Consider the following 23,908-nt stretch of genomic DNA (forward strand, 5'->3'; position numbering starts at 1 on the left):
TCATCGTGTTTTATTTTAAATTTGTTTTTAGAACTTAATAGTACTTTACAGTATATTTCTATAATTTAAATCTTCTGATAAAAATATAATTTATAGCCTCATGATTTTTAAAAAAGGCTATTTGTCACCACTACTAAAATCAGAATGAGGGAAATTCTCTCACATGTAAATGAAGGATTTAAGTTAGCGATAAAGGAATTTCCTCACCATAAAAGCTGTTATCCACTAGAAAAAGCAACCTTAAAATTGTGAGATTTCTTCTTGTGATGTATGGATTTAACAGGAATATGCCTGAAGATCTTTACTTGTAAAATACACAGCAATACCAAAGTAAAAGCTTTTTACATAAGAGCAGTTTCAAGATAGTCTTTCCTCCCAAACATTAAATAGTTTTCTAACAGAATTTAAAAAAAAAAAACTTTTGGAAAAGAAAGGTTAGAGTATATACATTACCACTTTTGCATAATAGTCTTAAAAAGAAAACTCTTTACAATACCTAGTGAAAATTACTACCATCCAAAGCTGCAACATAAGCTATGGTTCATGACATCCCTGTTCCCTCCAACACCCAATGCCCAGTACACATAGGTGGCCACACTTGTGGCCAGCCCCAGTCTTCTCTAGGGCTTCCCAGATGTACCACATACTCCTAACATCCTTCTCTCAATATGTCACCTGTTCCAGATCTCGACTTTCATGTAAGACAATCTCTCTCAAGCACATATACATCAACTTCAACTCTTACTTCCTTCTCTTTTATAATTTGCCCTATTACATCACAAAAATGTGCCCTGGGAAAGTTGGTCCTCTATAGCTTTCTCACTCACATGGCCCTCAAGAAAGGAAGTTCTAAGAAAGCTTGAAGTTTTGTCTGTTTTCTTCACAGTTGTAATTCAAGAACTTAGGAGTATGCCTGGTACTCAGTAGAAATTCACTAACTCCTTATTGTACCACTTAACCAGAATGCTCTCTCATGACAGGTCTACAACCATTTGAGTCTTCAACGACTCCCTACCAAGATCTTCATGATTGGTTATGATTTCCTTTAAATTTCAGGTTCAGCAATTACAACAGCTTACTTCTGCAATGAATGGAAAAATCTAAGAAAATATTCAATACCCACCAAGTATTAGCAGTAGTAATGTAGTTAACAAAAACTTTATTTTCCTGAATAGGATATGATTCTGGTCTACAGATAAATGAGGTGTTGGTATATTTCCATATTGTGCTTTAAAATCCTATGGTCCAACATTCATTCATTATTTAGATACAACAAACAGTATCTACCAAATGCCAGACTCATTCCACTGAGCATTCAAATCTACTCAGCCACGCTGGTGAAAAGAGAAATAGCCTAGCTCAATACCAGACACATATCTATAAGGACACACATCTTCAAGTTTTAGAAAGCAGCAAAAATGTGAATCAACCGTGAAGGGCCAATAAAACTGAAGTCTTATTTAAAATAAAATAGAACTAATTTATATTACAGATCTTGTGGAGTTGTGGGTTTCATACCCAAATGTGACAAATGTTCTGCTGTAAGTACTATAAAAGTTCTTGGATCCTAAGTTTTAGCTCAATACTTCAAATGTCCAACAATATTTAAAAACAATTGCTACAGTAGCGGACACACCAGTTTAGAATACACATTCCATTACTTTGGTCATTACACCAGTCCAGCCTCAATGAAGTGTGGAAACAAAAGTCAGGGAATGCAGGGGAAAAGTCTCAAAGCAATTAGGTTCAGTTTTCCAGACCAAGGTAACATCTTAGCAGAGTACCTACCAAGGGCTACACTGGCAAAATGGACTCATTTAAATTTAATTCCTTTTCCTAAACCTTATGCATATTTTAGTAGAGGGGCTAATTAGCAACAAAGAGGAAGAAAAAGGAGGAGCAATGGGACACATCAGGAGGGAAATCTATGAATCACAAACTTTCTAACTGACCTCTTTTTAAAAATAGAGGTAGCAGCCGGGTGCGGTGGCTCATGCCTGTAATCCCAGCACTTTGGGAGGCCGAGGCGGGCGAAACACGAGATCAGGAGTTCAAGACCAGCCTGGCCAACATGGTGAAACCCCATCTCTACTAAAAATACAAAAAATTAGCTGGGCATGGTGGCAGGTGCCTGTAATCCCAGCTACTTGGGAGGCTGAGGCAGGAGAATCGCTTGAACCTGGGAAGCAGAGGTTGCAGTGAGCTAAGATCACACCATTGTACTCCAGCCTGGGCAACAGCATGATATTCCATGTCAAATAAACAAATTAATTAAATTAAATTAAATTAAATTAAAATAGAGGTAGCTGTGATATAATGCTTATTTTTCAAATAATTTTCTCATTGCTTTTGATATCTGAAACGTCAGTAAAAATGCTATGCTATGACCTAGATCAGTAAGCTACAATTAACATCAGAAGAACTATACTAGTAGAATAAAAGTTGATGAGCTACTGTTGGAAGCACAAAAATAAATCTTGTCAAAACAAAGCAAAGTTCCTGTCAATCTTCAAAAGAATGGTTTGGGGGAAGGGAGGAAGTGTCCAAGATTTAAGATACATAGGAAGTTGCAATTAATTTTATCCAAGTTTTTATATTCAGTCATACCAGATTACAGTCTTGTAATTTTGATGGACTTTTTAATATATCTGATATTGTTAAATCTGAATTTTTTAAATATTGGACAAATGAAATGGTTTGAGATACTCAAAAAATATCCACATTATTGTTCTTGTTTGAAACTTTTCTAAAGCCATCCTCTCCCTTGATCCAAGACTCTTCCCTGAACTGTTGATAAATATGTTTTCAATGTGTCAAGCGTTTTGTGAGCACCAACTTGGATAATGGAGTCATGAAATGAAGAGTGAGCCTACTCTCAAATAGCTCACAATTTTTAGTAGGAAGGAGTGCCATAAAACCAGTAACTGAAGCAAGGACAGGTGGTGTTACTGCTTCCATCATCCTTCATGAAGGGGTAAATTTTCTGAACTAAAAGGAGAGGCAGGGTGGTTGATACACTTGAACCCAGCTAATAAAAGATTTGGGCATTTTCTTTGGTCAATGCATTTAAAGGCATTGATTTTACATTGCAAATGCAATTTTACTTACTTTCGCTGGAAATCCATTCAGAACTCCTCTCAGCTAAGAGAGTTGTTCCTAAACAACTTCTGCCATTATTTTTAAAAATAATATTTCCCATCCACAAAAAAGGAAAAGAAAAGAAAAATGCTGAAGTTTCCTAAAGTGGTGAGTAACAGTAAATCCTGAGTTGGGGTAGGGAGGGAGCCGTGGAATAGGGCTCTATTCATAGAGAAGAGACACATTAATTAAAAATCCACCTAAAAGGAGCCAGTGAATTAGATCGAATTGGGTGGTATGGGTTTTTGTTGTGTACTTGATAATGCAAAGACGCTTTCCATGAGCCCATCTAACTAATACAGCGTGGTGGGAAGCAGGCTTTGAAGACACAATAACATTCCTCCAGCGAGCTTCAAGCTGGAGGCTAAAGCACCAGCCATTCATTTTTCCATCTTGAGACACATTCTTCACCCAGTTCAAAGGCCCAAGAAACAACAAGCCTGTACACTTTCTGAAGGTCGGCCTCTGTAGGGACTTGTGAGGGACTAAAGGCTCAGGCTGCAAAATATTTTTAAAGACCAAGTTTTAGGAATGTAACCTTTTTTATTGGACTGCAGTTTCCACTCCCTTGCCCTCCTCCTCACCCCTAAATACACACACACACACACACACACACACACACACACACACACACGTTTGGGCAAAAGGGAGTTTTAATTATACTCTTGGTAACTTCCAGGGTACTCTACAAATGGAAATAAAATATTTTTAGAAATTAATTTATTACCTATTCTTTTAAAAATGTAATATTAATATTCCTTAACCTAACCAGAAGGAATGGGATTCGCTTTGAAAGGAAGTTATTGTTTAGCTGTGGTTCAAAGAGTATGCTGGAATTGGGAAGGGGGGCAGAGGGAGCTAGTAAGGGTGGGTTAGGGGGGTGGACTGGAGCTGCCAAGATCACAATATAAATACCACCACGTTCAACTTTCAGTCTCTCCCTCTTGGCTCCCCTCCATGACATATTTTATACAGTGTCTTGTTTTGTTTTGTTCTGTAACCTCAGGAACATTTACGGTATTTGAGATTCTGGTAAAAGCAAAATGTAAATAGTAGCTGATGGGAGAGCTGGGTGAAGAGTTAACTAAAGTACTGCCTTTGCTTTGAGTAGGATGTGGCAAACCATTTGCATTTGCTTTCCAATAATCAGCAACTTTGTGTTACCCAAATCTAGATTTATGCTCAGGCAGCGAAAGCCCTTTCAAACCATTTCAAAGTCTCTGACTCCATTTAGGCCCTTGCTCTCCACCTCCCCAGACAAAATGCCCAGCGCCCTGCACCAGTTCTCATGTGGCTCAGTTTGTTGTGTAAGTGGGGACAAGCAGTAAGTCATTGGTGAAGAGACAGTGGGAAGATATCCCCTGGCTCTGCGTTCCCTTCCAGTACCATATTTGCTTTCAAGTCCTATGTGAGCCACCTGAGGACTGTTACAAAGTGTAATCCTTGGTTGGGTGCTGTGGCTCATGCCTGGAATCCCAGCATTTTGGGAGGCCAAGGTGGGCAGATCACTTGAGGTCAGGAGTTCATGGCCAGCTTGGCCAACATGGTGAAACCCCGTCTCTACTAAAAATACAAAAATTAGCCTGGCATGGTGGCGCACACCCATAATCCCAGCTACTCAGGTGCTAAGGTAGGAGAATCGCTGGAATCCAGGAGGTGGAGGCTGCAGCGAGCCAAGATCACACCACTGCATGCCAGCCTGGGCAACACAGTGAGACTGTGTCCCAAAACAAAACAAAACAAAGTGTAATCCTCTAACCTAGTTCATAGTAGACATCTAGAACAAATAGTATATTTTCACCATCCACCAATGGCACTAAAAATAGAGACAACCGCATCTACTACTAGAAACCTCAATAGTCATTTTTCAATGTTTTACTTAGGGGTGAGCTTTCAGCCTTCACTCAACTAATAAGAGGTATTCTTAAGGAGATCTAACTCTTAAAAAGATGCCATCAAGACCTGAATCTGCACTTGGCCCACAAAGCATGTAATATAAAAATATGTGTTTCTCCTTTACAAACCTGAATAATAGAAGTACATTATGTATTTTCTGAAATCATTTCCTGCCCCTACATTTACGGTAGTGCCCATTATTCTACTTCATAACACTCTGCCCTTCCTCTTCCTCATGCCACATTTTGCAGTAGCATATTTCTTTATTTACTTGTTTATTTTTGCCCCCTGTAAAGTGCCACAAAGGCAGGGACACACGTATTTCAGTCTCCACTGCCTGGCTCACAGAGAAAAACTCAATGAATAGTTATTTAAGGGAATATAAGTGTTTGTGTTTTTCCAAAAAAAGTAGTATGAAGGAAATCACTGATATTTCACCCAAAGGTAGAAGTGTTCACTATAAACATCTAAGAATAATTTTATTCTAAATGTTCAACATGCAGTTGATAAACATTTACTAATGACAACAAAATAACTGCATTTAGTATACTATGGTATCACAGTAAGTCAAAAAATACAGATTTTCTAATAGTATCTCTATTTTATCCCCTTGATGCTGGGTGTGGCTATGTGACTTGCTTTAGGCAATGGGATAGTAGCAAATGTGATATAAGCAGAGGCTTGAAAAGTATTTATGCACTCATTGCTTCCCTGCTCTTGCTGCTGGGAACCTGTTCAATACCACGTGAGGACTGGGTCAGTCTGCTGGGGACACGTGGACCAGTCAATAGCAAGCACCAACTGACAGCCAGCATCATCCACTAGATATGTGAGGAAGAGCATCCTAGACAACTAGCCCCCAGTCAATCCTCCAACTGACTGAACCACTGCATTCACCCTGATGAGACAAGCAGAAGAACTGCCCAGCTGAACTCAACCTAAATTACCAACACACAGAATTGTGACCTAGTAAATGATTGATGTTTTAAAGCACTTTATTTGGTTGTGGTTTGTTACATATTGAAAGCTAAATGATATATACACCTGAGAAACTAGATAGCTTCATATATAAAACTCTTTAACAGCTTTTTAAAAATTTCCTTCATATGGATGAATTTCATTCCTCCTTACTTTAATCTGGAAGAAAACTAACACTACTGCTATTACTATACTCTTATTGGTAAGTCACCAAAAAAACGATCAAACACTGACGATTCTAATTCAAATGTTTTTTTTTAATTTTTTTATTTTTATTTTATTTTTTATTTTTTAGATAGAGTTTCGCTCTTGTCTTTCAGGCTAGAGTGCAAGGGTGTGATCTTGGCTCACTGCAATCTCTGCCTGTCAGGTTCAAGTGATTCTCCCGCCTGAGCCTCCCGAGTAGCTGGGATTACAGGCGCCTGCCACCACGTGCAGCTAATTTTTGTATTTTTAGTAGAGACGGGGTTTCGCCATGATGGCCAGGCTGGTCTCGAACTCCTGACCTCAGGTGATCCACCCACCTCAGCCTCCCAAAGTGCTGGGATTACAGGCATGAGCCACCATGCCCAGCCTCTAATTCAAATGTTATCTGTTACCACATTCTCGAAAGTTTCTATTTTGTAGCAAGAGCTACCCCATTCTATTCATCCTCTTCCTGGACCACAATTAGCAAGAATAGCAGGGTACCAGTCATAAATGTTTTTGACCACTAGAGAAGCTCCTCTTTGCTTCAAGGTAGAAATTATCTCAGCAATACACACTTTCCTTAGGAGACAGGGTAGATTCTCCTTATTCCATTCCTGTCCAGTGTTAATAACTTTGGAGAAAATAAGTGACAGGACATCACTAGTGTAAATAAATTTCATTAATTAGTTGTATGTAGTCTTATGTATAAAATAAATTGCTCCCAGAATTTGAAATGTTGAAAGACTATTCCAATAAAAAGCATTAATTCTTTTGAGCACTGAAAAATATGAGACATTGGTATCCAGAAAGTCTTCAAAAAGATCCTTAACCTTAATACTTAATCCCATTATACCATATTAAGAACTAGTTATTCACTCAGTCTTGGGGGAATGAATGCCTAAGTACCATGAAAGTGAACAGGAAAAGAAAATAAAGTAGTAAAGATTTAAATTGGTGGTGTTTAAAAACTTAAGACACTTTTCTGGCCAGGTGTGGTGGCTCACACCTGTAATCCCAGTACTTTGGGAGGCTGAGGCGGGTGGATCACTTGAGGTCAGGAGTCTGAGACCAGTTTGGCCAACATGGTGAAACCCTGTCTCTACTAAAAATACAAAAATTAGCCAGGTGTGGTGGCGCACGCCTGTAATCCCAACTACTCAGGAGGATGAGGCTGGAGAATGGCTTGAACCTGGGAGGCGAAGGTTGCAGTGAGCCAAGATTGTGTCACTGCACTCCAGCCTGGGTGACAGAGTGAGACTCCGTCTCAAAAAGCAAACAAAAATAAACAAATAAATAAATAAGACACATTTCTTAATTTGAACATTTCCAACTTGAAAAACCAGATCATTTTTTAACCTATGCTTTTCCCCTTTCACTGTTATGCTAGATTAATCACTAGAAACTTTTCTTTTTTTTATATATATACTTTAAGTTTTAGGGTACATGTGCACAATGTGCAGGTTAGTTACATATGTATACATGTGCCATGCTGGTGCGCTGCACCCATTAACTCGTCATTTAGCATTAGGTATATCTCCCAATGCTATCCCTCCCCCCTCCCCCTACCCCACAACAGTCCCCAGAGTGTGATGTTCCCCTTCCTGCGTCCATGTGATCTCATTGTTCAATTCCCACCTATGAGTGAGAACATGCGGTGTTTGGTTTTTTGTCCTTGCGATAGTTTGCTGAGAATGATGATTTCCAATCTCATCCATGTCCCTACAAAGGACATGCACTCGTCCTTTTTTATGGCTGCATCGTATTCCATGGTGTATATGTACCACATTTTCTTAATCCAGTCTATCGTTGTTGGACATTTGGGTTGGTTCCAAGTCTTTGCTATCGTGAATAGTGCCGCAGTAAACATACGTGTGCGTGTGTCTTTATAGCAGCATGATTTATAGTCCTTTGGGTATATACCCAGTAATGGGACGGCTGGGTCAAATGGTATTTGATCACTAGAAACTTTGTGAACCTGAGGATTGAAAAGAGACGTGGAAAGTAGTGTGTCCTTTTTTTTCCCTTTAAAAGTAACAACAACAACAACAAAAGAGAACAGTAAGTCTGTGATACAAGGTGTATTATCTGCTGTGCCCCTTTAAGTGCTGAAATTTGGGATCTGAGCATATTCTTCCATAGAAGACTTGGAGCAGTTGGGCATTTAACCAACTTTTTATTACAAAGCTTCAAAATTTATAAGCAGTCTATCTCTGGAAAGATAAACAAAACCCAGCAGTGATGGTGGCCTATGAGAAACTGGGGACAAAGGTGGGAGGAAGCCTTATTTTTCACTCTCTACCTTAAAAAAAAAAAAACAAAAACAACAACAACAAAAAAAAACCAAAAAAAATTGGAAACTTACAGCATGTACATGTATCACCTATACAAAAATACAGAGAAAAAAATAGTGTGAAGAGACCCAGCAAGCTATTATAAAACTTGGTAGTCTAAAAAAAAAAAAAAAAACTTTTAAAACATGTTTCTGTAAGAGACTACCACAAACTTAAAAATAAACGTGACTGCATATCATCAAAACAGAGGGAGAAAAATCTCAAAAGCAATTATACTTGCAGCCAGAAGCAAGCAAGGAACCACAGTTCAAAGTGTTGGACCTTTTCTTCATTAAAAATAAAAACCACCCACCCAAAGGAAAAAAAAGAAAAAAGTCCTTGAATAACAAAGCTAAGATAGCAAGAAAAGACTTTAAAATTTATTTTGTAGCCCCCACTTTCCCCCCAGGTTTCCTAACACTGACCACCCCATAACAAGTCCACATTCAACCCCTCTTCATTTAACAGCTGGATGCCTCTTCTTCTGGTTGCTTTCACTGGGACTAAAGATCCAAAGCAAAGATATCTTTTTTCCTGCTTTTTGTCAATATTATGTTTGCAAGCTTAATATCCAAAAATGGGCCATTCTTCCAAATGAGAGTTCCTTCCTGATTATTTAGTATGCTGATGGTATTGTCAGACAGGAAGCCATGGTTAGAAAGATTCAGAAAAATACAAACCTTTAAGCTAGATGGGCACTTTTGCCCTTTAGGTTTATGAAAAATGCCAACTTTTGTGAACTACACAATCGGAATCTTGATTTGGTTTTCCCGGATAACTTATGTCATAAGAAATTTGGTAACTCCTTTGGTGATCTCCTCTCAGTACCATTTTTCCCTCCATTTCCATGAATCTACCTTCATCCCCTTTCAATAAAAGGTGTACTATTTGGAACATGATAGGTGCTCAATAGAGCTTACTGAGTAAAAGAAGGGGAGGGGAAGAACAAGAAAAAATGGCTTAGGGCCTATTTGACAAAAGCAGATAATTTATGTTAGGGTTGAGAAATGGGTGGTGGGCTTGAATAGTATTAAAGACAATTAAAGATCTTCTGATCTTCTGATTGTCCCCACAACCCCTAAAACTCAAGGGTAAACATAATTATTTTTCATATCCATAGAGCCCTCCAAATAATTTTTAAGTGAATAGGGACATGATGATTGGAGAAGATTAGATAAATTATAGTTGACTACTTAGCAATTACTCAATATTCCAGTGGCCTTTAACTAACTGCTAAATGTTTATAAATGTCTTTTATTATTTTGCTAGCTCACTTAGATCATATCCTTCCTAAAAGTAAAAATCATGACTTTCTGTGCAAAACATAATTTGTTTGCCACATTACATATATTCAAAAAAAAAAACGTCTCTTTGATCATTTCAACAAACGTGAGAAAACTTCTCAAGATTAAGTGATATTGTTCAGCAATATGACCTAAATATGTCAGGGAGGATCAGAGAACATGCATTAAAGTATTCTTTGGTCAACAATAAAAGTGGAGTGCAAGGATACATATGTAATATGCAATATTTATAAAACTTGGGATGGTAAAAAGGAATACAATGAATGCAATCCAACTCAGCTTACTCAATAAAACATTCCTGGTAGAGTAATAAAACCACAAAATCTCTACTCTGCTTTAAGAAAACTGCAACTAGAATCATAGTCTGACCCATGTATTCAACTCTACTGCCATTATCAATGGAAAATACAGAAAAAGGGTCAAAAAGCCTTTTCAACATAAATACATCTTTTTCAAAGCTCTATTATTCAAAGATCACTGGCTCACTGAATAAGCACAAATAACATTTATCCAACCAAATTTATTTCAACAAATAGATTATAGCAGAGCCTGCTGCAAGAATACTATTAAAATGGAAAGTGTTCCTTTTATCATACATGACAGTACCTTATACTTGTCCAATCCATCTTCTCCCTTTTTGTGAATTAAGAATGGGAGAGGTACTACCATTTCCAAAGTATAAGACAAAAATAGAAGCAAATAGATGATACTTACTAACCTATCTTCTTAAAAAGCTTTACAATAAATTTTTGTAACTATGTCATATTAGTTTGAAATTAGTATGCAATTATTATATCATACTAACGTTAAAATGTAATTTTAAGTTAAAATTCAATATGATTACACTTTCTGAACATGTTTCAATAACATTTTAAAGACAGCTCTCAAAGTCTGCTGCATAGCTATGGACTAATAAGGTAACGAAGGAATAAATCAGTTACATAATTATAAATGTGGTAGAGGCAGGATCTATTATTTTACATGCAAAAAAATACTAGTATGAAAAAAAGTTACAGGATCTTTAGTGTGAAACTGGCTTCAAGCATGATTCACAAGAAGCTATTTTCCTTGAATACAATTTCCAGTAACTTTGTAACATGAGGAAATAATTGAGGAAATGGCTTTCTTTAAAACAAAACAAAACCTTAAAACTGTGAAATGTTCCAATATACTAAATTACCAACCCATCAAAATAAAAGGAACCATTTATATACTATTCAGCTAAGACACATATCTGATTATAGTGAGAGGATTGGAAAAGCATAAGTCCGTGGAGTTTCTTAAGAGGCAACAGACTATTTTAATGACTTGTGAAATCCACATGGAGGGACAAAAAAGGTCGGAGCTTCTGAATATATTGGCAACTCAACAGTCAAGATAACACAGGGTTGGAAAAGCAGTGTTGGCTCAACTAACTAATCAAAAACCCTAAAGCACAAAAAATCTGGACAACACTAATTTTGCCAGCAAGAGAAATATTGAGTTGTTTCATACACCTAAGAGAGAAAAATAAAGCTAAAGAAAAAATTGTGGAAGGCCTCCTATAGTCCCCAGTTGGCTTCTCAAATTTCCTTACCATTCACTTAAATGGCTGTCTCACTGAAGAACACTGATGGTACAAATGAGACACATTATCCACAAACACACCACCCCTGAAAAAGAGGTGATTTCCAACAGGATGCATGTGTTAATTTCCACAGTGTGCACTGGTTAAAGCTTACTCTATAGTGTGGGGAGGGGTGGGATGTTTCTGAGAGCTGACCTTAGGATGTAGGAACTAGCAGGTGCCTTGCATTCCCACACACATTTTATTTTTAAAAAGGCGGAAGGAAGAGGAGCATAATTCAGTCTAGAGATGGTTCCAAAAACTTAGGCTGGTCGATCAGGAGGGTTTGTCTTAGGGTTTGTTAAAACTCGAAAATGCCCCCTTGAAGCAAGAAAAGTTAATGTCAGGCCTGAATCAAACAATGTTTTCCTTCCAGGCCCCAGTCTGTCCATAAAGAATGTCTGATCCAAAGGCTAGAAATGGACAGAACAGGCTATTCTCATGCTTTATCATGACCCTGTCAACAGCTTCTTCGGAAAGAATCCTCATTGCAACTGACCCATTAAAGAGTATCAGTCATTTTCTCCACAACATTCCTATGTTTAGAGCTGCAAAGGAGGTTAGAATAATTTAGAACAAAATCCTCAAGTTACTGATGAAGAAATAGGTCCAGAGAAATTAAGTGACTTGCCCAAGGTCACTCTGCTAGTGAAGGGCACAGGCTGTGTTGGAGCCCAAGATCTCTGGCTCCCAAGAACTGCTTTTTCCATTGCATCATTTAAGATAGCACAAAGCTATTTTCCTGGAATTGTGATTTAAAAAAAAAAAAAAGGTGGCATGCCCTTTGGATCCCAAGTCTCTTCCTGTAGGGCAATGCTGGAGATAGTATTTATTGAGGGGGAACTCAGAGAAATGACTACAATATATGCAACATTTTATGGATTTATTTTTACTATAAAAAGATACCTAAACAATTGCAAACATTAAGCAAATTATTAGCTGCTCAAACTTTTCTGGAACAACAGAGAAACTCTCTCCCACTGCTCAGTAGCAGTTTTGGGTCATAACATTTGCACCTGCTTGGTACGTTTCCACCTGTGATGTTTCACTTGGCCCCTCAGAAAAAGCGCTGCCCTGGGATCTTATGATTCAGTGATGCAAGAGGGATGTTGGCTGGTGAGAAATGCTTATTTGAGAGGGAAGGAGGAGGAGGAGAAAATACTCCCATAGCACTTTTCTTTCTTATTTTCCTTATTTTAGAAAGGCCAAATCTGAACACATTTTCCATCCCATGTAGTAATATATCTCACATAATTTTGGTTACTGGAGGGTACACAACACAAATCTAGCAAGCTTTCAAAATCGATGTGCCCAGCCTAAATTGACGGGCTGTCACTGGGACTGTCAATGATGGAAAAATGAATCTGTGTCTGAGAACGCCACAGCATTTCCTCCAAGCCTTTAAGGAACACACTACCCAAACCCTTGTCACACCGGGTTCTCAGGATCTGCAAGCTGCAGTCCCGTCTTTCATTTCGCTGTGAGCTCCCTCACAGCCCAGGAGGATGCGTTTTCCCAGCTCTTACCTAGCTCTGGTGCTTTGCAGTAAAGTGTATGGAGCCTAGGGCACTTTCAAGCCAAAGGAATTCCCCCTCCCCCCATGACCCAAAACGATGGCATCCGCAGCACTCGCAGGTCTCTCTCCCTCCCTTGGTTGAGGGGGGCGGGCAGGAATCGCGGGCCAACCCCACCTGGCCCGCAGGCCCGCAGCCACGTGCGGGACTCCCTCCTGCTCGCGGATCTCGAGACCGGAAGACGAAGGAACGTGGCCTCGTAGTAAACCGTAGTAAAGAGAGAAGGGAAACAAAATGGGGCTCGTCACATGGTTACGGCCTGGATTTTTCTCAATTAAAAATAAGAGCAAGTGTGTGTTTCCGGCCCCCGTCCGTGGGCTGGTTGGACTTTTTCATTCTTAGGATTCTGATCCAAATGCAAGAATACAGCTGAGGGCACAACGTCCTCAGTCGGCGGGCGCGGTGCAGAGGGGGCCTGCGGCTCGGCCTGCGGGCACCCGCGGGAAAGAGGTGCCAGGCAGGGTGGCAGAAAGCGGCCCAGGGACGCCCGCCCGCCACCACCGCCAGGGGACCCGCGGAGAGCCCCGCCCCGCGCCCGCCGCGGCTCAGCCGTTTCACATGCTGATTGGCTGTGGTGGGGGCCAATCAGCGCCCAACCGCCCCGCCCGCCCGGGACCCAGAGCCGCGCGGCTGTGCCCGAGGGCGGGGCCTCGCCCGCCAGCGCCGACCACGCGGCCCGGGAAGGGGCCCCACCGCCCTGGATGACCCGAGACGGGCGGGGGCGGGAGACCCGAGGGCGGTCTGGCTGCAGATTCCCCCACCCCGGGCGAAAGGGGGCTCGGAAGAGGGAGGAGAAGGAATGCAGGAAGCGGAGGTGACCCGGAAAAGGGAAAGTGCCAGGGCCGAGAGGGTTTGCGCCAGCCAAAAAGGCCACAGGGCTGGGGAAAGGGGAGGGAGGGGAGGCAACCTTGGAGGTACGGAATCCTTGACATCACAAAAAAGGAAACTGAATGAAAAAGAAATGGAAAGAGTCTTTTTCTGTTTTTTTTCTTTTTCTTTTTTCTTTTAAAGGGGGAGGGCATAACAAAGAATGACAAAAACAAAAAAACTGAACCCAAAAGGCATGGCTGGGGTCTGTGTCTTTGTCAGCTGCAGTTTCAAAACTAAAAGATAAATTTGATGCCAGGTAAAGGTGGCAGGGCTGCTATGACCGAGTCTGAGAGGCTCTTTTTGCCCTGCTTCTTGGGCTCTCAATTTACTCTCTGCAGAGAGTGGGCCACAAGTACTGCGAAATTCTGAAAAGGAGCAAAAGAAAAAAAGGATAATGTCAGGAACATGAAATAAGAGGTGGAAACAAAGGGATGGCAGGGGATAGTACTAGAAAACGAGCAAGCCAGAACTAAGAGGCTATGCAAGAGAAAGGGCAGGCAGAAAAGGTCACTGGACTACAGGTAAAGCAGACAGGCTTCCAACAAGTAGAGCTCCTGAGCTCAGTGCTTCACAAGTGTTCTCCTCTTAACAGACAATGAAAAATTTTAAACAAGCCGAGATGTTTCAACAGAGCCCACGCCTCATCATACCTCTATTCCTTTCACCGAGTCTCAGGTTTTACCTGAGAAATGAGGAAAAGAAGCAAAGACAGCAATTGCTGAGGAAGTGAGGAAAATAATGTTTGCACACACATTCGGAGCAGAAGCTGTTTGCCACTCACAGGTCTGACTTCTGTCTGTTTCAGATAGCTATAGAATAACATCTTTGGACTCAACAGGGCACAGGCAAGCAAGCAGAATTGAGGATGTAAATGTGCCAGGTAGCATTTGGTGCCTCACTTTAAACACCAACACAAACATCTCAAATACGCATTGTAGAATTTTCCTGGCACTGTGCAAAGCATGGTCGATTGTTACTCCAGAATTATTAGAAATAGGATTATATGATTATTCCAGAATATTTTATTTTCCCAAAGAAGGTTAAGGATAGAATTTTGTAGAGTTTTTGTTTTTTTAATGCATCCAACACATAGGAGAATTTTATTTTAAAGCCCTTTTTAAAAATGAAAATTCTAGTTGGTCATCAATTCTCTTCAGAGCAAACATCATTTATTCTACTCTATAAAAAGAAACCTAAACAAATTAAGATGACAAGTAAGAAAAACTTATTCTCTTTATCTCCTTTAAAACCAAAATTTTAGTTCTGCTGGGCTGGTTTTCTTCAAATTCTCATTATTTTACCAATGAGGCACTTTATAATACAAATGCTTAAAGTGTTGAGGGATTCTGACTCCCAAAAACATCATTTGATATAACAAGATTTGTACTACTGATGTTGATATACACAATTAAATCTTTCTTCTAGTGAATGATGAAAATAAATGTTGAAGTAAATACTGATCAAATAAATGCTTTTTGTAACATATCACCCAAAATCTTCATTTGAGTGTTCATATACCTTTTTCTTGTTCTATAAAATAGAGAATTATATGGATCAAATATTGGAAACAGAATTAAGAAGACTATGAACACATGATAAATAAATACCTGTCAATAGGAAACCAGGGCACAGATTAATTTCTTATGAATGGACACAAATTAAGAAAAATCAGTGCTTTTAAAAGCTCATTCTGTGGAGCATAGATAAAATTCACAAGATAATCAGTTTGTCAGAGTAAAGTGTTTCCAAATGCTGGAAACTTCTGCATTGCCAACTCATCACATTATTTGCAAACTGTACTCTCTTCTACCCACAATTATGACCACCAGAAAACAGGATCAACAGAACGAAGGGCAGGCTAATTTCCTATTACAAATGTTTTTCATTTTTAATACGGCATTAGCCACAGAAGACCTAAAGCCAACTTTCAGCATTTACTGTGGTGTCTACTTTTGAACTTAAAGGCACACAGCAAATAACCCTAAAAGTGGAGGGTATACAGTTTAGCCCTTCTACTCAATGCAAAACAAAACAAATTAAGGCATGTTCCTGACTTAGTATGCATTCTTCTCAACAAATAAAAGTAATTTTACAGAAGATATATAGTAGCCCCCAAATGATATCTGTAATGTCTCAGTGCAAGAAGAGATAACTATAAGGCAGACATCCTAGGATGAACTCCCATAACTCTTAATAATGGGTCCCAGACACATACAGAGTTTCCTGCATATCCTGTACAAGAGAGGCCAGGCCCGTGGGATGGTGGGTCGGTGTGTGAATAATATTTCACAAATCCTGGTACATGAACAAAAGGAGAACGTCACCCATAATTACTTTCTTGAGAGATCACAAAATAGATAGGTACTTCTCTCTAAATACATATTTCTAAAAAGCTCTTACTCCTGATCTTTTTAGGGCAGGATGAATAGAAATCAATGCTTCCCGCTGCTGTTTATGTTGCCCTAGTATTATGAAATCACAGAACAAAAGTACAGAGAACAACTTGATAAGATCACCCTTAAGGGCTCCCAGAAACTATTAAGATAGTTTAAGATAAGGAAGGGTTTAGCCCCTGTGTTAACAAATATTTTTTGTAGAACTGTCCCTTCCAGGGGCTGACCTAAATATATAGTGAAAAGAAAACTTCAACAAACAAATCAAGCTTCTTACGGAGGAACTCTACAAAACGCAGAACTGGCATAGGATATATGTTTTAAAAATACTGCAGTAACTACTTCACTTGGGAATTCTCAAACGAAAAAGCCCTCCTGTGGCTGCTCCTACATGTTTGTTTGACTCTCTGCCAGATGTCAGTGTGGGGTGAGCATCTTGTGTGCCCTGAGAATGTAAGTGCATTCTCCCTGAGGAAGCAGTGGGAAAGAACAGGAAGGGGCAGAGGCGAAGAACAGAATTCAAGGACAAGGTTAAAAGCAGTTTTGTCTTCTGACTTTGTCACCATGAAACGCACCTGCTGTGATGTCCAGTTGAGCTACTGACGGTCCTCTGGCTGCTTCTGGAAACTGATGCTGGCATAGGCGCTTAAATCCTCACTTGAGCGGCGGGTGGAGCTGCTCTCACCGCTGCCCAGGGGTTGATGAGGGGGTGGGGGTGGGGGAGGCTGCGGTTCAGGGGTGCACTCCTGAGGGCACTGTTTGAAGTCCTTGACCAAATCCAGGTCTATGTAGTTAAGACCATTCTCCAAACCCCCAGCAGCCCCACACAGTTTGGCTGGCTCCTTGGGGGCTCCCCCAAGCTCCCCAGGCCTCAGCCACACATTCTCAAAGGAAGCAGAGCTGTGGCGTTTCACATCCTCGCTGCTGCTGCTGCTACCGCCACCGCCCCCTACTGCTGCCCCCGCTCCAAAGGGCACTGTGTTGCCCACCCGGGTGGCACTGGGTGTTGAGGAGAAAGTCTCGGAGCTATGCCTCCGCCGGCACCCTTGTGGGTCTGCACGGATCACTTTGGCACTCTGGTTGCGGTTAGGACTGAGGTTCACCCGGGTGAAGGCGCTCATGCCCCCAGGTCCTTGTGGGCCCCCCAGCAGGGACGAGTGGGCAGCCAGCTCTGCTGCCCCTTGAGGCCCAGTCGGGGAAGCAGAGGCTGCTGAGGATGAGGAGGCAGCAGCCATGGTGGCCCTGGGCAGGCTCACCTCCTCTGCAGCAATGCCTGTTCGCATGTCAGCATAGCTTACAGGGGCAGCTGGCGAGGTGTCCACGTAGCTCTGACGGGGACAACTCATCTGCATGGTCATGTAGTCACCCCGGCTGCTGGGCACTGCCCGGGTAGGCCTGCAAATGCTAGCAGCCCCGGGAGGTGCAGGGCCCAGTCTGCCCATCTCGACCCCAGTGCTCTCCTGCCAGGCTGCCCTCCGGCCCGGCCCCAGGTCCATCTTCATGTACTCCTCAGTGCCAGTCTCTTCCTCTCTGGGAGCTGGCTGGAGCTGGGATGGACACCTGACAGAAGGTGAGCTGTGGAAAGCCACCGGGCCAGACAAGTAGCCAGACTGATCACTCCCAAATTCAATATTGACATATTCCCCCGGGCTCTTGGGCTCTGGAGGGTGCAGCAAGGGCTGCTGCTGCTGCTGCTGCTCTCGGGCCCGAGGTAAGGTGCTGGCCTTGGGATCCCCCAGGGACAGCCTCGTGGGCCGGGCCAGGCGGCTATTGGTCTGAGCAGCTGTGTCCACCTTTCGAGGCAGATGGGGCTGCAGAACCTGATGGTGGGGATGTGGAAGGCTGGGCTCCAGCCTAGCCCCGCAGTATCCCCCACCCAGGCTGTCGCTGCTGGTGGAAGAGGAAGAATCATCTGCTGTTGCAGCATAGAGAAGGCGACCAGAGCTAGTGGAAAGGCGGAGGTGCTGATGCCGGGCACCCTCCTCCGGCTCCCCGGGGCGCTGGGTGTGCTTAAAGGATCTTGGCAATGAGTAGTAGGAGAGGACTGGCTTGTGCTGGGGGTCCTCAGGGCCGTAGTAGCAGTCGGAGGGGCTGCTGGTGTTGGAGTCCCCCACTGGTGACATGTTCATGTAGTCACCTGTGCAAGGTAAGAGCTTACCACCGCTGCTCTCCACTGGGGGTTTGGGGTGAGGCAAGACATGAGAGTGGTGGCCCCCTACCCCGTTTGTCCACAGCTTTCCATAGCTGGTCCCGGAAGGGACGGCGTTGCTGCTGCTGCTGCTGCTGCTGGGGCCACCTCCAATGTCAGGAGAGCAGCCACCGCTGGGGGACATCATCATGTAGCCATTGGGGTCCACTCTCTGGGGATGGCGTCTGATGGGATTGATGATCTGCTGTGGGGCAGATACGCTCTTGGGGCTCATGGGCATATAGTCTCCACTGCCCTTTCGGCCACTGGGCACTGGGGCCACCCCTGGGGACATGGGCATGTAGCCATCATCCGTGTGGAGGGTGGAGCTGTCTGGGCGGTGGTGCCCCCCCCGACGCTCCAAGGGGTGCATTTCCAGACCCTCCTCTGGGTAGGAGCGGGTGGGCACGAAGGCGGAGTGCCTGTGTCCCGGCAGTCGGCCTCCACTGCCACCTCCTGGTGGGTAGGCAGGCATCATCTCTGTGTACTCCTCAATGGAAGCCACTGAGGACTGGGACGGGGTCTTCTGGTGGGTAATGGTAGGGGATGTGCCTGCCGAGTGAGTTCTCTTTCGGAACCGATTATCCAGATCTGCAGCACTGGCTGCTTCATCCCCAGCCAAGGCTGGACTCGTGCCCAAGCCTGTTCCTGGGGTGCAGCGGTGGCCATTGCCACCCCGAGACAAAATGTAGTGACCGTTGGGGGCGGTCAGGGTGGAGGGCCCCTTGCCACCCATGCAGATATAGTTGCTTAGCTCCTCCTCACCGCGGGCTGGTGGGGTGTGGCCCAGGGAATCCGGAGTGACACTGCGGAAGGAACTCCGGAAATCGCAGGGACTGGAGCCATACTCATCCGAGGAGATGAAACCGCCATCGCTGGGGGAACCAGACACCGAAGCACTAGATCGCCGTGGGAAGAGACAATCCGAGGTGGAGCCATGGCCACTGGTGCTACTGGACGACAGACTGACCGGGCTGGTGGCCGAAGGCGAGCAGCGGGAAGCCGGCATGGGGATGGAGCGGCTGTGGTTGAGCGGGGGGTGCAGCCGGGCGCTGCCCCGATGCCGGTGGGCGTGGGTTCTGTTGGTGCTGGGACTCACAGGGCTGCCGTCCACCGAGGCTGGGCGGGACATGGTGCCTTCGCCGTCACTGGAGGCGCGGACACGGAAGGAGCCTGGCTTCCCGCCCACCATGCTGGCCGGGGAGGTGGCGGTGATGCTCTCAGTGCGTGATCGGCGGGTCAGCCCCACCTGGCTGGGCGGGGGATTGTTGAGATGGTGCCGGCGCAGGGGGACGCTGATGGGGTTAGAGCAGTTGGACGAGGACTGGCTCTTGCTGCGAGGGCGGAACTCATCACTCATGGCCCGCATGGCCTCCAGGATGGTCTCGTGCATGTTCTGGGCCACCACAGAGTCATCCACCTGCATCCAGAACTCCCCGGGCCCCGTCACGGCAGAACGGCCCACCTCGATGAAGAAGAAGTTTTCCGAGTGGCCACAGCGCCTGATGTTCATCAGCTGCAGCACCACGGCCGCTGCCTCCGAGTTCAGCTTCACGAAGCTGATGGTCTTGCTGGTCAGGCAAAGGCGGTAGATACCAATCAGGTTCTTTGTCTGACCCAGGCCCTTGGGCTTCAGGATCACTTGCCAGACCTCTTTGAATGCGGGTCCTGGGGGCACGTCACCGTAGCTCAAGTCCTCCCCAGCCTCACCAAGGCCGGAGCTGCCGCTGCAGCTGCCCCCACCACCTCCCGCCCCGAGGGCCGCAGCTCCGTCGTGGTGGCCCTTAGCACGGTTGTGCAGCTGTAGGAGAGCCTGGTACCAGCTGTCTTGCTCGGCCTCGCTGTCCGCCGCGATGGCAAAGTGCTCGTCCCGGGTGTAGAGAGCCACCAGGTGCTTGTTCTTGGAGTCAGCCCGCTTGTTGATGTTGAAGCAGCTCTCAAGGGGGATCGAGCGTTTGGGGGCGCTCGACTTGTGCCGCCACTTCTTCTCGTTCTCGTAGTACTCGAGGCGCGCCGGGCCCCCAGCCTCGCTGGCCGCGCGCAGTACGAAGAAGCGTTTGTGCATGCTCTTGGGTTTGCGCAGGTAGCCCACCTTGCGCACGTCCGAGAAGCCATCGCTCTCCGGAGGGCTCGCCATGCTGCCACCGCCACCACCAACGCTGAGCAGAGGGAGGCTCCGAAAAACAACCGGGTGGGGGGCGGAGGCTCCTCGCCGCGGCCCGGCACATGCAAACAGGGCTGGAGGCAGCAGAAACCCCGACTCTGAAATCCACGCCGCCCCCCGCGCCGGGGAGGGGCAGCTGAAGGAGGACGCAGCTGCTGAGCCCAGGAGAGAGCCCGACCGGAGTTTTCGGGCGCTTCACGCCCGGCGGGGAGGCAGTGCGTCCGGGGTGAGGGCAGCCCCGATCCTCCGAGAGCCAAGTCTCCTCTCAGCCGCCGCCGCCACCAGGAAGGAGCGAAGATGCATCTCTCGTCGCCCCGGCTGGAGTCCGGCACAGGGAGGCGACAGTCGGGGGTCCCTGCGGTGCCCCTCCAGGAGCGCGCGCGCGCGCGCGCCTTCCCTCCTGAGTTCCCCTCTGGAAGCAGCGATTCCCGAGGCAAATTAAATATCCTTGGGCAGGGGGAGGCGGGTTGCCAAGTCCCAACGTTGCACGGGGTTCTCCCTCCTCCTTCGCCTCCTCCCACCCCCCAACCGTCCCAGCCGCCACCAGCCGCCCAAATACCAGCTCAGTCGCAGAGACCGCGGCGCTGCGGCTGTTGCTGTTGCTGCTGCTGCTGCTGCTGCTGCTGCCGCCGCCCGCGGGCGCGTCCTCTGCAGCCCCCATCCGGGCCCATCTCGGCGGGTGGAGAAAGTGGCTTTTCCATGCGAAACGATACCGGGCAGCCACTGCAGCTGGGGACCGGCCGGAGGGACAGACTCATCCCTGCCCCTCGCTCCAGGCGGCTGGGGAGGAGGGGAGGGGACAAGGGCGAGAGGGGATGGGGGAGGTTTGGGAAGGGTTCGGGGAAGACGCCTGTTCCTCGGGAGGCGCTGCCGCTGCAGTTACTTCTCCCCTCCTCCCTCCTCCTCCTCCTCCTCGGAGAGTTGCCGAGAGCCCCAACCAAAACAAGCGGCGGCGTCTGGCTCTGCGCGCCGGCCCCCTCCGACCGCGCCGCCGTCTCACTCGGAGGAGAAAAACACGTGACGGAGCCTCCGCGCTCGGCAGCCGGGCAGCCGCCGCCGGGAGGCTCCCGCCCGGGTCTCTACATTCCGGGCCGAGCCCGCCCCGCGCCCGCCCCTCTCCGCCCCCCAGCCGTGCTGCAGCGGCGCCCGCGCCGACCCCGGCGCAGCGCTAGGACAGCGCCCCTGCGCGGCCGCCAGCTCCGGCGCAGCGCCTCCCTACACGCGCGCCAACCGGGGCGCCCCCGGCCCGCAGGAATCCCCGCGGCGGGCGCAGGCGGGGGTGTTTGGGTGGCTACCCGAAAGCACGAGGGGAGTCTGGGAAAACGGGAGGGGGCGAGCTCGGGAAGACGCAGGAGTGAGGGTGGGGGGCCACGGGGGGGCACTGCGGCTACAGAGCCCCGAGTGGGAGGCCGGGGGGAGGCGGGGGCGCCGGAGCTGGGCTGCCTCTTACCTATCAGGTAAGACTGACCCACGGGAGGGAGGTTTCTAGTCAAGGCTGTTTCCCCCAGGAAATTTAAAAGCTAGATTTCGGCTTCAGGGCGATAGGCCATGGTGAGGGGATCTGTATTTTTTAAGGTTTTTCTAAAGGACTTCTGGGCCAGCCTTCCACCTTGGGATCCCCAGATTTGCTGCCGTGAGGTACCTGGAAGGAACAGAGGGACGCCCAAGGGCAGTGACTGGGGGCAGTTATGGTCACTACAAAAGGAGAACAGGGATCCCCAGGAAGTGTCTCACGTCCGGCGCTGTGGAATTAGTTGCTGATCAAGTAGGGAGAAAATGTAAATATCACCTTTTCTCCTGCTCCCCTTGCCCATCCGTGTGACGGGGGGACTCACACCTAAGGCTGAGGGCATGGGGGAGGGGAAATGAGAGGTCCCTTATCATATTCCGAAGTCTATCCGTGACTTTAAAAAGCTGTTAGGGACCTTCAGAGGGTTCATAAGGCCAAAACCCTACTGTGCAAATATTGGCTGAAATGTTTGTTTCACACACAGCTCCCACACCCATTGAACCACCCTATAAGTTTTTAACCTTGACCACAAGGATAACAGGGAGAAAACAAGGATGGTGCCAGCTCAACTGTACAGGAAAATGGTTACTTCATGAGTGGACCAGATCAGCAGCCTGGGTCTACTTGAAGCGCCCCTTTCAGGGTCACCTTGCGGTATCAGTCTCCCCACAAACAAACGCTCCCCAGAGTTTTTTTATTTTTTAAGCCGACCTATAAACAAGCAGTTTGTCCCTGCTTGCTCGCCTGGCACTAAGGACCCACAGAGATGTCACTCGGTTTAATGCTGTCTCATTTTGATGCCTGGCCCGTTTGGGGTTGCCGCCCCTTTACTACGCCGGGACCCTCCTCGGCCTCAGGCTCCCAGGCACTGCAGGATGCTGGCTGGGCACTCAGCAGTCGAGGCGCTGGGCATGCTCAGTGGCTGGGACCCGGCGGGCCGCGGGGGAGCGCGCCTCGGCCCAATGCGGCTGAGGGGCGGAGCGAGTTTCCCGGGGAGGCCTGCTGATTGGTGGGATGGCCTGTTTTTCAAGCCTTGCACTGCAGAGGGAAGGTGGGGGTAGAAGGGTTGAGGGTACCAAGGTAGGTTGCAAAGCGTAGTAAAAAAAGAAAAAGAAGATGATGATGATGAAGGAGAAAAAGAACCATAGGCGCCATTCAGGGGTGTGCGATACGTAAATTAGGGGGATTGGGCATCTGCAGAGGGGCTCCTCCCCACCCAAGCCTGGGAGCCTCTCGTTTCTCCTCTCCCCTTCCTGTTCCCGGTCGTCATGCAGCCTCATCTAAACCTGGTTAATCTATAATTTGAGTACACATGTTGAATTGAAAGCCCTCCCTTCTTTTCCTCTGACAGCTTGGTGATGTGGGCACACGTGCCCACTACAGCAAGGCTATTAATAGCAGATATTTGGAAATGGAAGCGAGGCGGCACTCACAGTGACCGAAATTCTGGGGGTATAGAGTGCCTTACAGGGGGTAGGGCAGGGAGGTGCAGAATAAAGAAGCCTGAAGTTGGTGGAAAAGTGTAACTGTGTGCCTGGTTTTACCCTAGACAAGAAAAAAGAGAGATTATAAAAGGGTTGTTTACTAGTAACAATGTAATCCAGATAAGGCCAAAGGGCTTTTCACAGGTTTGATGTTTAGCGCTGGGATGGGGGTAGTGGAGTAATTAACATTTTGTAAGACAACAAATCAAATCCATGGACATTTACTTTTCAAATGGCCCTGTCCCTACCTCCGTCCCTCCACCCCCCACCCCCCAAAAAAAGCT

The 23,908-nt window shown here is 46.1% G+C and overlaps 2 protein-coding genes across 4 annotated transcripts in view, besides 7 other annotated features; one reads left to right on the forward strand and one right to left on the reverse strand.

Moving 5' to 3' along the window:
* The window catches only part of IRS1 (insulin receptor substrate 1), a 68,509-nt gene extending 46,824 nt beyond the window's left edge, over nt 1-21,685 (reverse strand). The window contains exons 1-2 of one of the 3 annotated variants that reach the window (XM_047444224.1): nt 16,854-21,685; nt 6,012-8,176 (exon numbers count right to left, since the gene is read on the reverse strand). In XM_047444224.1, the coding sequence (XP_047300180.1) occupies nt 16,875-20,603 (3,729 nt within the window). In that variant the 5' untranslated portion in view covers nt 20,604-21,685 and the 3' untranslated portion in view covers nt 6,012-8,176; nt 16,854-16,874. Of the gene's footprint in view, nt 1-6,011; nt 8,177-12,305; nt 14,251-16,853 lie in introns of those variants that run through there. The other 2 variants (XM_047444223.1, NM_005544.3) reach the window with 2 other exon arrangements.
* Nucleotides 3,898-4,192: an enhancer, noted in NCBI's record as "tiled region #11623; K562 Activating non-DNase unmatched - State 22:ReprW". NCBI's record gives its function as "activates a minimal TATA promoter and a strong SV40 promoter by Sharpr-MPRA in K562 cells {active_cell/tissue: K562}" and the evidence as "EXISTENCE:reporter gene assay evidence [ECO:0000049][PMID:27701403]".
* Nucleotides 13,264-13,953: a silencer, noted in NCBI's record as "silent region_12389". NCBI's record gives its function as "represses an Ori minimal core promoter by ATAC-STARR-seq in GM12878 lymphoblastoid cells {active_cell/tissue: GM12878}" and the evidence as "EXISTENCE:reporter gene assay evidence [ECO:0000049][PMID:35858748]".
* Nucleotides 18,824-19,773: an enhancer, noted in NCBI's record as "H3K27ac-H3K4me1 hESC enhancer chr2:227661675-227662624 (GRCh37/hg19 assembly coordinates)". NCBI's record gives its function as "activates a minimal SCP1, AML or CMV promoter by ChIP-STARR-seq in naive H9 embryonic stem cells {active_cell/tissue: H9 hESC(naive)}" and the evidence as "EXISTENCE:reporter gene assay evidence [ECO:0000049][PMID:30033119]".
* Nucleotides 20,504-20,553: a silencer, noted in NCBI's record as "silent region_12390". NCBI's record gives its function as "represses an Ori minimal core promoter by ATAC-STARR-seq in GM12878 lymphoblastoid cells {active_cell/tissue: GM12878}" and the evidence as "EXISTENCE:reporter gene assay evidence [ECO:0000049][PMID:35858748]".
* Nucleotides 21,544-21,963: a silencer, noted in NCBI's record as "silent region_12391". NCBI's record gives its function as "represses an Ori minimal core promoter by ATAC-STARR-seq in GM12878 lymphoblastoid cells {active_cell/tissue: GM12878}" and the evidence as "EXISTENCE:reporter gene assay evidence [ECO:0000049][PMID:35858748]".
* Nucleotides 21,984-22,053: a silencer, noted in NCBI's record as "silent region_12392". NCBI's record gives its function as "represses an Ori minimal core promoter by ATAC-STARR-seq in GM12878 lymphoblastoid cells {active_cell/tissue: GM12878}" and the evidence as "EXISTENCE:reporter gene assay evidence [ECO:0000049][PMID:35858748]".
* Nucleotides 22,024-23,908, forward strand: part of RHBDD1 (rhomboid domain containing 1) — a 199,052-nt gene continuing 197,167 nt past the window's right edge. The window contains exon 1 of the mRNA NM_001349069.2: nt 22,024-22,087. The gene's annotated coding sequence lies outside the window, so the exon portion shown is untranslated. The remainder of the gene's footprint in view (nt 22,088-23,908) is intronic.
* Nucleotides 23,014-23,223: a silencer, noted in NCBI's record as "silent region_12393". NCBI's record gives its function as "represses an Ori minimal core promoter by ATAC-STARR-seq in GM12878 lymphoblastoid cells {active_cell/tissue: GM12878}" and the evidence as "EXISTENCE:reporter gene assay evidence [ECO:0000049][PMID:35858748]".

This window comes from Homo sapiens, chromosome 2 (assembly GCF_000001405.40).
Source record: "Homo sapiens chromosome 2, GRCh38.p14 Primary Assembly".
NCBI classification, from domain to species: Eukaryota; Metazoa; Chordata; class Mammalia; order Primates; family Hominidae; genus Homo; species Homo sapiens.